The 16,672-nt window shown below is 37.4% G+C and overlaps 1 protein-coding gene across 26 annotated transcripts in view; it reads left to right on the forward strand.

Annotated features, from left to right (window-relative positions):
* Positions 1-16,672, forward strand: part of MAPK8 (mitogen-activated protein kinase 8) — a 132,684-nt gene that overhangs the window by 58,808 nt on the left and 57,204 nt on the right. The gene's annotated exons all lie outside the window — the stretch shown is intronic.

A 16,672-nucleotide genomic window follows, 5' to 3' on the forward strand; every position in this document is an offset into this window, starting at 1 on the left:
ATTTATTGCTATTTTTGTTCTTTTTTTATGTATTATCAGATATTGCCGTCAGTACTATTACCGCATTTACACAATGTTGCCTTGTGTGGAAATTCTAAACCTTTGCTAACTCTTGGTAACCAAAATAACGATAAACTAAAGAGATTATTATCCCATCTTTTGAGAGAAATGTAAAATTATTCATTTGTCTATAAAGAATCTTTGACAAAAGTATTTTTTAAAGCATATTGAATCCTAGCCATTTTATTATTATTAGCTGTGTACCTAAATGATATTTTAGATATGAGTATAAGGAAGACAAACTTTAGGTTGTCAAAGAATGAGCATGTCTCATGTGTTACAGTCATGGCATGACAGTTGGATTACAATTATCTCTTGATGAATCAACTTCATCTAAACCTTAATTGCATATTAAATTATTTAGTCATTTCCTGATTCAGTAATGAGAAGTCAGAATATATAGTAATTTACTGGGTAGCATGTTACATGCCATAGTTTGCGGAATGTACTTGATCAGTAAAGTCCACAGTAAATCAAAGACAAATGAGAAAATTCTTTTAGAATTCAGTTTTTTTTTTCTTAATTTGAAGTCACTTTAAATGCTCTTATGTAATAAGAAAAGAACCCTAGGTATATTTAAATACTTAACCTGCTATAACTTTTTGTTGGAAAGGAGGTAGATTTTTTTTATGAGTATTTTTTTCCTATGGGAAAAAAAATAACTTTGGTGATGCAGTATGCCTTTATCTGTGTATTGTTAAAAACTAAACTAAACAAAAAAAACCCCTAAGAACCTTTAAACTTAACAAAGTTTATTTGAGCAGGAAAAAGGTTCTAGAAGCAGACAGCACTCTAAGATGGTTCAGAATACTACCACTTACAACTGGTGAGCTGTTCTAATAACAGGGAAAAATAGGAAATGTCATACAGAAATTACCTGATTGGTGCAGGTTGGTGTTTGCCTTATTTGGGCATAATCTAGCAGCTTTTAACCTGGGATTGGCTGAGACTCAGATGTGTGGTTATAAGGGTATACTCCTAAGTTAGGTTATAACTTGTTTACACATCAAGCTAGAGTACAGTTAATAGTGTATGGAGGCAGCTTTGGGCCAAATCTGATTGAACAGTATAAAAATAAGTTTTGCAAATATTTATCCTTACCACATGAGTTACATCCTAATATTCTTTATTCTCTTCTATTTCACTAAAAAAAATTCAAATCCACCAAATTCATTTCATGGCCCATCGGTGTGTTGGAGCTCATTAGTTTGGAAAACACTGCCATATAGGGTTGAAAAATTTTTTTTCTTTTTTTACCCTGTTAACAACTGACTAGTCTGAAGGAGCTCAAATATTTGGAAAGCTTTATTAGTGCAGTTTAGTAGCTGGCTTTTAAAAAAAAAAAATTGCTTTCTAGAATCCTCCCTGCTACATAATCACCAAATGTTATTTCAATATTGTTTTCCTAACTTGAAAATTTAACTGAATGACTAGAAGGTGTTGGACCAAGAAATATCTGAAGTACCAAGCCCACAAAGGAAAATTTAATATTGATTGAGGTATCATGGTTATTTGTGCACCCTTAAAATTAAGCCAATTTTAGTTAATAGAAGTTTCAGCTGGGTGTAGTAGCGCAGCACTTTGGGAGGCCAAGGCAGGAGGATCACTTGAGGCCAAGAGTTTGAGACCAGCCTGGGCAACAGAATGAGACCCCATCTATACAATTTTAAAATTAAGCAAGCTTGGTGGTACACGCCTGTAGTCCTAGCTATTCAGGAGGCTGAGATGGGAGGATTGCTTAAGCCCAGGAGTTTGGGGCTGCAAGTGAGCCATGCTTGTGCCGTTGCATTCCAGCCTGGGTGGCAGAGTGAGATCTTGTTTAAAAATTAAAAATAAATAAATAAATAAATAAATAAATACATATATATGTTTACATATATATATAAATTTCAAGTTAATTGTTTAAAGGATGTCATTAACCAAAACTAAGCATCAGTCTTTGGTAATGAAAGCATTCTAAAAGTCTTTCTTTTAGATAGATTGAAAAGTCTATCTTGCAGACAAAGATAATTTTATTAATCATAAGTAACATTATTATGAAAAGTATTTGTGAATATTAATAACTCAGTTTCTTCACTTATGTTGAGTTGCTTTACATGTTTTATCTTTGCATAATCTGTAAACTTGATGTTTCGTAGTTGACAGAATAAGTTTACAGTTAGATATATAGGTAACTTTTAGTTCAATGTTTTAAAAATTGTGTCATGAGAAGTATAAATAAAATTCAACGAAAGATACCATTTCTTGGCCTTATATAATGGCATATATTTGAACACTTGGAGATAGTGGAAAAGGGCATTTCACATAAGGGGACAGAGGCATCAAGGCAGAAAAGCTTAATATGGTCCAGGAATAAAACATTCAACTGGATGGGCTTTGTTCTAAAGGCAGTTTTTGAGAGAAGAGAGAATTAAATTAACTTATATTACAATACCTACTTGCTACAGGAGATAATGGGTGGATTTGAAGGGAGTGAAATTAGGCAGAGAGAGTAGTTAAGAAATCATTGAAATATTTTAGAGAAGAAATGAGATTGAAGTAGGACAGTGTCTAAGGAAATAAAAAGTAATTTATCAAGACAGTAAAATCAACACAATTTGGCAGCTGATTAGATTAATTCAAAAATATTTGAGTGTGTGCTATGCAATTCTGGGAATCCAACTGTGAACAAAATGCATGCTCTTTACCCTTACATGTGTTTTAGTCCAATGGGAAGCACAGACATTTCAATTCAGGGTAATACATGTGCTGCCATGGAGAAAGACTCAGTGTTGTCTTGGGAGTGAGTATACTGACTGAACTTGAAGCCTCAGGGATGAGTAGGTCTTGACCAGGTAAAGTTGGGGTTAGAGTGTGTTACAGATTCCTCCCTGTCCTCTCCCCGCATGTTGGCTTGGAGGTGAAAAGATTGTGGTACTTTTAAAGCAGTTAATTGTGGCTGGATCCTGGGATTGGAGAGGGAGGAGGATCTGGTAAGAGAGGGCCAGGGCCAAATCATCCAGAGTCCTGAAGTTCCTGGAATCCCCTAGTTCTTGGTCCACAACCCTAATGAAGCCTTGGATTTTATCTTAGGAACAGAAATTAACTGTGGTATGATTTTAAGCAAGGGAGATTCAGGGTCAAAATTGCATGTTAGAAGAATTATTTTAGCTAAGAATGTCTTAGTTATAAGTCAGAAACTTAAGCAAAAGACAAAGAAAGTGACCCAGAGGATTCAGCATATGCAGAGGTAGGAAGTGCGGCTGGACTTCACAAAGATTTGGAACCAGACATGGTTCAGTATCAGATGCGTCCTCTTCTGTTGTATCGCATAGTGTCTTGTCTCTCATGTCTGCTTCATTGCTCTGTGTATACTGTCTTCTCTTAACTATACAGCTCTAACTTAACAGCCTCTGAATTTCTCTCCCACTTTCAAGTCCTCTGGAGAGAGTCTGACTGGTTCCTTGTCAGTTGTCTACCCTTGGTTTAATCAGCTGTGCTAAGAGGGCAGGGTCATGTAGCATAAACATGGTGCTTCAAAGCCAACCCCTCTCACAGTTAAGGGGTATGGTGAGTTGTGGGCTAGGCAGAATTCTTAGAAAGAACCAACTTCAGAAGATCATTTTGGCTGCAGAATGAAGAATTCAGGGGAAGGGAACTAAAGGAAGGGGACCTCTTTAAGAGAATACAGTAATCCAGGCAGTAGGTAATACTGCCCTGAATCAGGGGTAAGTAAGAAGAGAACTGATCTGTGGTAGATTAAAGGTTGAATCTCCAGAAGTGTATGTAGATTGGATATTGGAGTATAAAGAGTCAAGGATAGTGTTTGTGTTTCTGGCTTGAATACCTGAATGGATGATGATAGCAATCCCTGAGCTGAAGTAGCATCGCAGCAAATTTAGTGGGGATTGAAGACGAAGAATTTATTTTTGTGCACGTGCAGAGTTTGAGATAGCCTCAAGACATCTAAGTGGTAATGATTAGTAGACCCTTGAATATATGCATCTATAGCAGAGGGAAAAGCTCAATAGTAGATACATATTTGAAATTCTTTAGTGTTAAGTGATAACTAGAGCCATGAGGGTAGATGAAATTGCCATGGGAGAGTGTAACAAGACAAGAGGGCCAAGACAGCCATGAAGAGAATCTGAGGGCTAGCAGAGGGGGGAAAATGAGCCTACAGGGCAGACTGGGAAGGAACAGAAAGGTGTGAGAAAAATCCAGAGTATGCAGTGTTTTTAGAAACCCAAGAAAAGTGCTTCAGGCAGGAGAATGTGGTGAAAGTGTCAGGTGCTGATGAGCAGCATAGGAAAAAGTCAAGTTCTGTTTAGGAGCAAGAAGTTTGTTGATGACCTTGGTGAATGAGCTTAATGGGATTGGTGAATATGGGAAACAGGATTGAGGACTCTGGCAAGTGAAGAAATCAAAATAAATATAAACAGTGCTTGAGCTATAAGGAGAAAGAGTGGGTAGAGATGATTATGACAGCGAAGTAAGGTTTTTATGTATTTTTTAAAATATCAGGGTCTTGATCATATTTCAGTGCTAGGAGAAAGAGTGATAATCAGTTGAGCAAGATCAGGAGATTCTTCAGGGCACTATTACATTGTAATGGTGAAGAGTGAAGCAAAAGTATGTGGAAACTAGTTTAGTGAATGGAAGAAGAGGTATTCCCTGACTTTCATTTTCTCTAGGAAGAGGTTGGGATTATTTACAAATAAGGTAAAGTCGAAGACTTAGGGAACAGGAGGACAGTTTGTAATAGATACTGTAGAAATTAGACTAGTGCAACTTGGGATTTTTTTTTTCACTAGCTTAATTAGAGGTCTTAAATTGAAAGCAGCACCAGTATACATCATTGTATTGGTTTTGTTCAGCAGTCTGATTACATGCTTATGTTGTGCTACTTCAGGTTGGTACATTGAGAGTAAGATATTGACATGATGGTGGTCTGACTAATGGAACATGGAATATAAGCTGTGGAAGGAAAGAAGTAAAAGTGAGGACTAATAGAAAAGTGAGTTGTTAAAGGCCTAGAGGTCTTATGTGCAAAGAATAAGTGACAGTAACTCAGCTTGAGAGGCAGGTCCTAAAATGAGGGTAACACTAAAGGGGAATGGACCAATAGCGTCTTAGGAGATTTTCCTGCATTTGCCTGCATTGCTGGAAGAATGGTATTGCTGATAAAAGAAGTAAACATGGAAGGAAGAGCAAGTTAGTTTTAGAGGGAAGAAAAGTTAGATTTTTACTGTTTCCCCTTTGAGTACCTATGGATCATTCATACTGAGATGACCAAGAGGCAGTTGAAAATATAAGGGAGAAGCCAGGGCTGGAAACAAAATTGGGAGATTATAATTGAACCCATAAATTTACAAAGAATATAAAGTGGTAAGGTCTACTTAGACGCTATGTACATTTAAGGAGTAAGAAATAGAGAAAAGATGCTTACAAGCTTTGAGAATTTGTGAAGAAACTCAAAAGAGGTTGAAAGGGTTGACCAAGCAGATCACCGGATTTGTGAGTGGCTTTCCAGAGGGTTTAGTGGAGCATGAAAGGAGATTGGAAAGGTTTGAAGAGTAACTGACTTTCTGAGAGTATGTATATTGCCAATGAATGATGTATTATTATATGTGATTTTTAAAATCTCCCCAATATACTGATATTTTTAAAATAACTTTAATTTGCTTTTTTATTAAAAAAATTATTAGCTATAGTCTGGCTTTCTGAAATAGAGTATACTGGTCATTTAATTTGTTAATGCCTCAGGAGTATCATAGTTATCGATTATTACTCAGAGCTATAATATGGTTGGGCCCTTTCAAGTGCTGTTAAGACCATTTGTTTTTGTACTGAATGCCTTCAGTGTGTTGTGTTTTTCAAGGCCTTCTTTCCCTTGTCATTTGTTGCATTAAGTCATTTGACAGTATTATTCAAGGATTTTTTTCCCCCTCGAAGCACTTTACTGTGTTATAGTTTATAATTATTGGAAGCCTCTGTAGATATATCTGAGGATATGGGGGTTGGTGGGGAGTAGTATCTCCTACTATAATCATACAAGACAGAATACTTCTGTGGCCTCTGGTCACCAAAATGTATGAAGATTTCTCTCCAACAGACACCAACTGGGTGTCTTCTGATTCAATTCTATTCTGACATTGTCTTCCGGAAAACAGCATCAGATCCCACAGGATGAGGTCTCAGTCCCACAACACTGCCCCCCTACTTCAGATGCCAGTCACAGGCATAAGTTGTAGCCTTGTGTCTGACTGAATAGCTATAAATTGGGGTTCCCATGATCCGCTCCTTGGGTTCGATTAATTTTCTAGAGTGGCTCACAGAACTCACAGAAATACTTACATTTATCCACTTATTATAAAGGATATTACAGAGAATACAGATGAACAGCTAGATGAACAGACAAGATGCATAACACAAGGCGTGGAGAAGGGGCATGGAGTTTTCATGCCTTCTCCAGCTATGCCACGCTCTGGGAACCTGCATGTGTTAATGTTATCCAGAAGCCCACAAAACAGTCCTTTAGAATTTTTATGGAAACTTGTTTACTTAGGAATGATTGATTAAATCATTGGCCATTGGTTTATCGACTCAACCTTCAGCTCCTCTCCCCTTCCTAGAGGTTGGAGTAGGACCGAAAGTTTCAACCCTCTAATTATGATTACAAACAGAAAGGAATAGTACCAACATCAAAGACCAAAGGTAGATAAGTCCATGAAGATGGGGAGAAACCAGCGCAAAAAGTCTGAAAATTCCAAAAACCAGAACACCTCTTCTCCTCCAAAGGATCACAACTCCTCACCAGCAAGGCAACAAAACTGGATGGAGAATGAGTTTGACGGATTGACAGAAGTAGGCTTCAGAAGGTGGGTACTAACAAACTCCTCCAAGCTAAAGGAGCATATTCTAACCCAATGTAAGGAAGCTAAGAACCTGGAAAAAAGGTTAGACAAATTGCTAACTAGAATAACCCGCTTAGAGAAGAATTTAAATGACCTGATGGAACTGAAAAACACAGCACGAGAACTTTGTGAAGCATACACAAGTATCAATAGCTGAATCGATCAAGTGGAAGAAAGGATATCAGAGATTGAAGATTAACTCAATGAAATAAAGTAAGAAGACCAGATTAGAGAGAAAAAAAAAAAGAGTGAAAAGAAACAAATAAAGCCTCCAAGAAATATGGAACTATGTGAAAAGACCAAATCTACGTTTGATTGGTGTACCTGAAAGTGACCGGGAGAATGGAACCAAGTTGGAAAACACTCTTCAGGATATTATCCAGGAGAAGTTCCCCAACCTAGCAAGGCAGGCCAGCAACATTCAAATTCAGGAAAATACGGAGAACACCACAAAGATATTCCTCGAGAAGAGCAGCCCCAAGACACATAATTGCCAATTCATCAAGGTTGAAATGAAGGAAAAAATCTTAAGGGCAGCCAGAGAGAAAGGTCGGGTTACCCACAAAGGGAAGCCCATCAGACTAACAGTGAATCTCTTTGGCAGAAACCCTACAAGCCAGAATAGAGTGGGGGCTAATATTCAACATTCTTAAAGAAAAGAATTTTCAATCGAGAATTTCATATCCAGCCAAACTAAGCTTAATAAACTAAGGATAAATAAAATCCTTTACAGACAAGCAACTGCTGAGAGATTTTGTCACCACCAGGCCTGCCTTATAGGAGCTCCTGAAGGAAGCACTAAACATGGAAAGGAACAACTGGTACTAGCCACTGCAAAAACATACCAAATTGTAAAGACCATCAATGCTATGAAGAAACTGCATCAACTAATGGGCAAAATAACCAGCTAGCATCATAATGACAGGATCAATTTCACACATAACAATATTAACCTTAAGGGTAAACAGACTAAATGCCTCCATTAAAAGACACAGACTCACAGACTGGCAAATTCGTTAAAGAGTCAAGACCTATCAGTGTGCTATATTCAGGAGACCCATTTCACGTGCAAAGACACACATAAGCTCAAAATAAAGGGGTGGAGGAAGATTTACCAAGTAAATTGAAAGCAAAAAAAAAAAAAAAAAAAAAAAAAAAGCCAGGGTTGCAATCCTAGTCTCTGATAAAAGAGACTTTAGATCAAAAGAGACAAAGAAGGGCATTACATAATGGGAAAGAGATGAATGAAACATGAAGAGCTAACTATCCTAAATATATATGCACCTAATACAGTAGCACCCAGATTCATAAAGCAAGTTCTTAAAGACCTAGAGGCAGACTCCCACACAATAATAGTGAGAGACTTTAACACCCCACTGTCAATATTAGATAGATCAACGAGACAGAAAATTAACAACGATATCCAGGAGTTGAACTCAGCTCTGGACCAAGCAGACCTAATAGACGCCTACAGAACTCTCCACCCCAAATCAACAGAATATACGTTCTCCTCAGCACCACATCGCACTTATACTAAAATTGACCACATAAGTGGAGGTAAAACACTCCTCAGTAAATGCAAGAGAACAGAAATCATAACAGTCTCTCAGACCACAGTGCAGTCAAATTAGAGCTCAGGATTAAGAAACTCACTCAAAAACGCACAACTACATGGAAACTGAGCAACCTGCTCCTGAATGACTACTGGAAAAATAACGAAATGAAAGCAGAAATAAAGATGTTCTTTGAAACCAGTGAGAACAAAGACACAATGTAGGAGAATCTCTGGGACACATTTTAAGCATGCCTAGAGGAAAATTTATAGCACTAAATGCCCATAAGAGAAAGCAGGAAAGATCCAAAATCGACACCCTAACATCACAATTAAAAGAACTAGAGAAGCAAGAGCAAACAAATTCAAAAGCTAGCAGAAGACAAAAAATAACTAAGATCAGAGCAGAACTGAAGGAGATAGAGACATGAAAAACCCTAAAAAATCAATGAATTCAGGAGCTGGTTTTTTGAAAAGATCAACAAAATAGACCGCTAGCCAGACTAATAAAGAAGAAAAGAGAGAAGACTCAAATAGATACAATAGAAAATGATAAAGGGGATATCACCACTGATCCCACAGAAATACCAACTACCATCAGAGAATACTATAAACACCTCTATGCAAATAAACTAGAAAATCTAGAAGAAATGGAGAAATTCCTGAACATATACACCCTCCCAAGACTAAACCAGGAAAAAGTTGAATCCCTGAATAGACCAATAACAAGTTCTGAAATTGAGGCAGTACTTAATAGCCTGCTAACCAAAAAAAGCCCAGGACCAGATGGATTCACAGTTGAATTCTACCAGAGGTACAAAGAGGAGCTGGTACCATTCCTTCTGAAACTACTCCAAACAATAGAAAAAGAGGGACTCCTCTGTAACTCATTTTATGAGGCCAGAATCATCCTGATACCAAAACCTGGCAGAGACACAATAAAAAAACAAAATTTCAGGCCAATATCCCTGATGAACATTGATGTGAAAATCCTCAATAAAATACCGGCAAACCAAATCCAGCAGCACATCAAAAAGCTTATCCACCATGATCAAGTCTGCTTCATCCCTGGGATGCGAGGCTGGTTCAACATATGCAAATCAATAAACATAATCCATCATTATAAACAGAACCAATGACAAAAACCACATGATTATCTGAATAGATGCAGAAAAGGCCTTTGACAAAATTCAGCAGCCCCTCATGCTAAATACTCTCAATAAACTAGGTATTGATGGAACATATCTCAAAATAATAAGAGCTATTTATGACAAACCCACAGCCAATATTGTACTGATTGGGCAAAAACGGGAAGCATTCTGTTTGAAAACCGGCACAAGACAAGGATGCACTCTCTCACCACTCCTATTCAACATAGTATTGGAAGTTCTGGCCAGGGCAATCAGGCAAGAGAAAGAAATAAAGGGTATTCAGTTAGGAAAAGTGGAATTCAAATTGTCTCTGTTTGCAGATGACATGATTGTATATTTAAAAAAACCCCATTGTCTCAGCCCAAATCTTAAGCTGATAAGCAACATCAACAAAGTCTCAGGATACAAAATCAATGTGCAAAAATCACAAACATTCCTATACATCAATAACAGACAGACAGCCAAATCATGAGTGAACTCCCATTCACAGTTGCTACAAAGAGAGTAAAATAAAATACCTAGGTATGCACCTTACAAGGGATGTGAAGGAACTCTTCAAGGAGAACTACAAAACATTGCTCAAGGAAATAAGAGGGGACACAAACAAATGGAAAAACATTCCATGCCCATGGATAGGAAGAATCAGTATCATGAAAATGGCCATACTGCCCAAAATAATTTGTAGATTCATTGATATCCCCATCAAAGTACCATTGACTTTCTTCACAGAATTAGAAGAAACTACTTTAAATTTCATATGGAACCAAAATAGAGCCCACATAGCCAAGACAATCCTAAGCAAAAAGAACAAAATTGGAGGCATCATGCTACCTGACTTCAAACTATACTACAAGGCTACAGTAACTAAAACAGTATGGTACTGATACCAAAACAGATATATAGACCAATGGAACAGAACAGCAGCCTCAGAAATAACACCACACGTCTACAACCATATGATCTTTGACAAACCTACAAAAACAAGCAGTGGGGAAAGGATTCCCTGTTTAATAGATGGTGTTGGGAAAACTGGCTAGCCATATGCAGAAAGCTGAAACTGGATTCCTTCCTTACACCTTATACAAAAATTAACTCAAGATGGATTAAAGACTTAAATGTAAGACCTAAAACCATAAAAATCCTAGAGGAAAACCTAGGCAGTACCATTCAGGACATAGGCATGGGCAAAGATTTCATGACTAAATCACCAAAAGCAATTGCAACAAAAGCCAAAATTGATAAATGGTATCTGATTAAAGAGTTTCTGCACAGCAAAAGAAACTATCATCAGAGTGAACAAGCAGCCTACAGAATGGGAGAAAATTTTTGCAATCTATCCATCTGACAAAGCGCTAATATCCAGAATCTACAAAGAACTTAAACAAATTTACAAGAAAAAAGCAACCCCATCAAAAAGCAGGCGAAGCATATGAAGAGACACTTCTCAAAAGAAGACATTTATGCAGCCAACAAACATATGAAAAAATGCTCATCATCACTGGTCATTAGAGAAATGCAAATCAGAAACCACAATGAGATACCATCTCACTCCAGTTAGAATGGCAATCATTAAAAAATCAGGAAACAGATGCTGGAGAAATAGGAACACTTTTGCACTGTTGGTGGGAGTGTAAATTAGTTCAACCATTGTGGAAGACAGTGTGGCAATTCCTCAAGGATCTAGAGCTAGAAATACTATTTGACCCAGCAATCCCATTACTGGTTACATACCCAAAGGATTATAAATCATTCTACTATAAAGACACATGCACATGTATGTTTATTGTGTCACTGTCCACAATAGCAATGACTGGGAACCAACCCAAATGCCCAACAGTGATAGACTGGATAAAGAGAATGTGGCACATATACATCATGGAATACTCCACAGCCATAAAAAGGATGAGTTCATGTCCTTTGCAGGGACATGGGTGAAGCTGGAAACCATGATTCTCAGCAAACTAACAAAAGAACAGAAAACCAAACACCGCATGTTGCCACTTCTAAGTGGGAGTTGAACAATGGGAACACATGGACACAGGGAGGGGAACATCACACACCAGGGCCTGTCAGGGGTTTGGGGGAGGGATAGCATTAGGAGAAATACCTAATGTAGATGACGTGTTGATGGGTGCAGCAAACCACCATGGCACATGTATACCTATGTAACAGACCTGCACATTCTGCACATGTACCCCAGAACTTAAAGTATAATTTAAAAAAAAAATACATTTCTTGGACCCGTGGTAGAAAGACTGATCACTATATCCAGATATCCACTCCCTCACTGCTCTTGGTCAATTGAACCCTTCAACTTTTAGTTGGGTACATGGCTACTTTGCGGTAAGATGTGACTGTGGTGTGTGAGCCAAGCTAATTTGCGCAGAAGGAATTGTGTAGCTTGCAAGTCATATCCTCAGAAGAGAAGATGCTCACCCTTGTCTTCTTTCCACCCCTCCCCTGGATTGGAGAAGAGATACGTTATTGCCCACCACATGGGCAGTAACTCCCTAGGAGGTGACAGAGCAACAGGATAAAAGGAACCTGGGTCCTTGGATAACTTCATGAAATAGAGTTGCCTTTTCTCTGTGGCTCTCCCACTTAACTCTGGACTATTATATGAGAAATAAATAAACTAAATTGTTTGAAAAATAAATAAAAGATGAATAGGGAGGGAGTGACTACAAAAGTTGCTTATCAGGAATTCTAATTGGTTTACAGAAATAACATTGGTTAATGATTTTCTATACATTGTTAAATTGTAAGGTGTGTGGCATTTTATGTCTTCTTGAGGTCAGTTAGTCTAGAGCTTGAATAGCAAGTGGCTTCAAGGGGTAATTATTTACCTCAAGGGAGAATGAGGCATGACTGCTGTTAGATTTTAAATACCTTTTTGGGACTGATAACTTAGGCCCATATTCCTTAGATAAAAAGCTTTTCTTCCCCCCTCCCTCCGCAACCTTTACTCCTTGTGGTCAAAAATCTTTCTTCTCGAAAGCATTGTTAATCAAAATCTAAGTGTCATGATGTCCCTTGTCACCAGGAAGTCTCACTCCCAGGTAGTGCTGTCCCATGTTGATGAGGGAGGAGGAAATGTCTCAGTGAGGAATTTTAAGAGTTCCCAAAAGCTGACTTAGGATGGCATCACAGAGTGGCAGAAATGAGACCTCAGTTAAGTCATTGATTTATGTAAGTCATTGCTTGTTGAATCATCCCTAGTCTTTGGAATCCCATGATTTTAGTTTCCTCCAAAGTAAAACAATGAGAGATACATAACAGTTAAGAATTTGTATTGCAGAAATATAATGCACACATTGACTACAATCAAAAAGTGAATTTACATGTCAGAATGAAAAAAGAACCTATTCATTAGGGAGCCAACAACAAAATCTTGAAAAAAATTAAAACCTGGTTCTTCTTTACAGACTGGTTGTAGCCAGGAAATAATTCAGGATTTAGTCCAAGTGGTAGACAAATAAGAAAACTCAAAAACAATGGTCAGGCTAGAATCTAATAACAGGTGTGTTATAGTTTTCTTATGAAACGTGATTTTTCTGTCTCTAGTCTCCCTTTTATTTTTTTAAAATACATAATTATATATATATAAAATGTATACATTTATACTTAGAAATTTTTTCTTTAGTAACAATCTCACTCTGTCACTCAGGCTGTTGTGCAGTGGCATGATTATAGCTCATTGCAGCCTTGAATTCCTGGGCTCAAGTGATCCTCCACCTCAGCCGTGAGTAGCTGGGCTTACAGGCACAAGCCACTACACCCATCCAGTGCCTCTTTTCTACCGAAGAGAAATAGACCAATTTATTTGCAAAAAAAGTTTTAGAGTTATTATACTTGGCCTGATTTATTTGCATAAAGTGCAGCAAGAGTAGTGATTGGTCATATAGACTAGTTGGCTTTGCCTGAAACTTTTTCGTTAGAAATTTTGGATTAGACTTTTGGAAACTTCTCAAGTCTAAGAAGTCAAGCCAGGGATTAACCATCAGCCTGTGCCTGTAATACTTTCACAGTTTGGTGAATTCTTCTCTTCTTGAAGTCCCAAAATATTTTGATATTCCTGAAACTCTCAGAAAGTGACATTCTTTACATACCGCAAGTCAGGATTCTTGTAAGGGAACAGTATAGACAACTTATTAGGTCAAGTCTTTCCAAGGGGCTTTTTATTGGCTCTATAAAGTCAACCTTAATTCCTCAAAGTAGTTTGATCATATGCTGTTCCAGTTAAACCTTGGTACAATAACCAGTGTCTCCAATGCGTCCTCTTACAAAACAAAGAAAATATTGCACTTATACAAACAACTATATTGTCATAAATGTCATAAAATAAGAATATTCACAAATAGTTCCCAAATTCTGGAGAAAATCAGGTAAAGAGGAAGGTAAATGTTTCACTTTTCCCCACAAAAGTATACTTTACCTAATTGCTATGAGCTATAAATGGCTCAAAAAAAATGTGGACTCTGGCAAAACAAATATGAGAAGAATCAACAATGTTTCAAACAAAAAGTGATTAAAAAATCATTTCAGTCCTCTATCAGTTCAGTCCCATGTAATTAATTCCTGTTCTGTTTCATGTTGGCTTAGCAATCTTCATTAACACATCAGTTTTTTATTCGAATTTTGGAAATTTTTACCTAGTCCAATGGTATCATCTCCATAGTTATCTGAAACCTGTATTCAAGAATACTTGAATATGGTACAAACTCGTATTCAAAGTCCTTTCCACGAATTTCTTTGAAGACACACATTTTAGGATTTGGAGGGAAACAAAGCTCTTAAAAAAAAAAAAAAAAAAAAACAGACTAGATGCAGTGGCTCACGCCTGTAATCCCAGCACTTTGGGAGGCTGAGGTGAGCGGATCATGAGGTCAGTAGTTCGAGACCAGCCTGACCAACATGATGAAACACCGTCTTTAATAAAAATACAAAAATTAGCCGGGCATGGTGGTGCGCACCTGTAATCCCAGCTACCCGGGAGGCTGAGGCAGGAGAATCACTTGAACCTGGGAGGCGGATGTTGCAGTGAGCTGAGATCATGCCATTGTACTCCACCCTGGGCAACAGAGCGAGACTCCGTCTCAAAAAAAAGACATGAGAATAAAACAGTTTACTGCATATACCAAGGCATATCAGATGTTTAGGAATTGCATACAATTTTGGAACACATATCAATACAACTGTAACTCAAAGAAAGCTGAACACTATTTCTTGTCTGACAGTGCTTTCCATGTTTGAAATTTGATTTGGGGGAACTGTATCAGATATCAAAGGTTTAAAACACTAGATATGGCCGGGCGTGGTGGCTGACACCTGTAATCCCAGCACTTTGGGAGGCTGAGGCAGGCAGATCACCTGAGGTCAGGGGTTCGAGACCAGCCTAGCTAACATGGTGAAACCCCATATCTACTAAAAGTACAAAAAAATTAGCCGGGCGTGGTGGCATGCACCTGAATGTGAGCTACTTGGGAGGCTGAGGCAAGAGAATCACTTGAACCCAGGAGGAGGAGGTTGCAGTGAGCCAAGATCACGCCAGTGCGCTCCAGCATGGGCGACAGAGCAGGGCTCCCATCTAAAAAAAATAAATAAATAAATGTAAATTAAACAGATATCAAGATAAGAAAGGTTTGAAATGCTCAGTGTTAAAATAGGATCACAGGTCATTGTAAAACAGTCATTTAAACAAAGTGATAAGTCAGTGATTTTTAAAAAGTCAAAACCTGTGCTCTTTGATTAGCAGGAGACTCCATCAAAGAGTAAGTTTGAGGAGACTGTATCAAAGAGTAAGACTCCATCAAAGACTCACTTTTCCAAATAAGACCTAATAAAGGCAGCATGAGCTCAAGAAAATCTCTCTCTCCCTCCTTTTCTTTTGTAGTTTACTCAAAAGTAAACAAAACCTTTTACTATCTCCTGTTAACACTACCTGAAAATCTTGTTCAAAAGAGAAAACGAAATCCTACCTTTGTATCAGTATATTATTAATATTAAACCTAATTTTAATAAAATCTTACAATAAACAGATCCATCTGATCCCAGTCAGCTTTGACCAGATAAGATTTTCATGAATCTTTTATAAACTCTTACAATTTTATTTTTTCTTTCTCCAACTTTTTAGTTTTAGCTATATCATGTAAATTTTGAAACAATCTTTAACCTCTAAACTAGGCAAAATTACTTTTCCTTTAGCAAAACTCACACCCTCCTCTCTTTTTTATAACTTTCTTCACCAAAAACACATCCTACTTTCATTGTATACTTTGCATACAAGAGTGTTTCCCATGTATCTAGTACTTTTAATTACATATATTAACTACGATTTTAACTCTTAGTAGTTCTAATTTCAAGTGAAAAACCTAGAAAGTAAGTAGTAGTTAACTGGTTTATGTCTGTATTTGTAGACAAATCATTTCATGGTTTCGTAGAAAGATATTTCTATAAAATATAATTGATGCCTACTTTTTTGTTTATTAACAGATCTAAAGATTATTAACAGATCTAAATATATTTAGCTTTTTTATACCATGTAAAAACAAAATACCAAATTATGTAAACTAAACTAAAACATATCTAATAATTAATGTTTTTGTATCTTAATGTATGTAGAAATGACTCAAACATTTTATGATTATCTATTACTTTATTAAACCTAACATGACTTCAAAACTTTAAACTACTGAAAAGAATTTTGAAACTGCAACACAGATACCCTTCCTAATGTCTTCCTCAGTCATACTGAGTCGCAACTACCCACGTGGCACCCAAGTATGATTATGAAGGGGCAGGGCCTATCTGAGTCCTGATTTTACACACCCATAATGGAGCCCAGGACAGAGGACAGAACTGTGAAGATAATGTCTGACTCTTCCCACCATAGCCAGGAGACAACAGCCAGGCCAGAGGGAGTACCACATATGTCTGCAGTCCTCACTTGTTAGAGCCCAGAATCTAATGAGTCTAATACATAAGCTCACAGACAAGTCAAATAAGCATCAAAC

Source organism: Homo sapiens, chromosome 10 (assembly GCF_000001405.40).
Source record: "Homo sapiens chromosome 10, GRCh38.p14 Primary Assembly".
Lineage (NCBI taxonomy): Eukaryota > Metazoa > Chordata > Mammalia > Primates > Hominidae > Homo > Homo sapiens.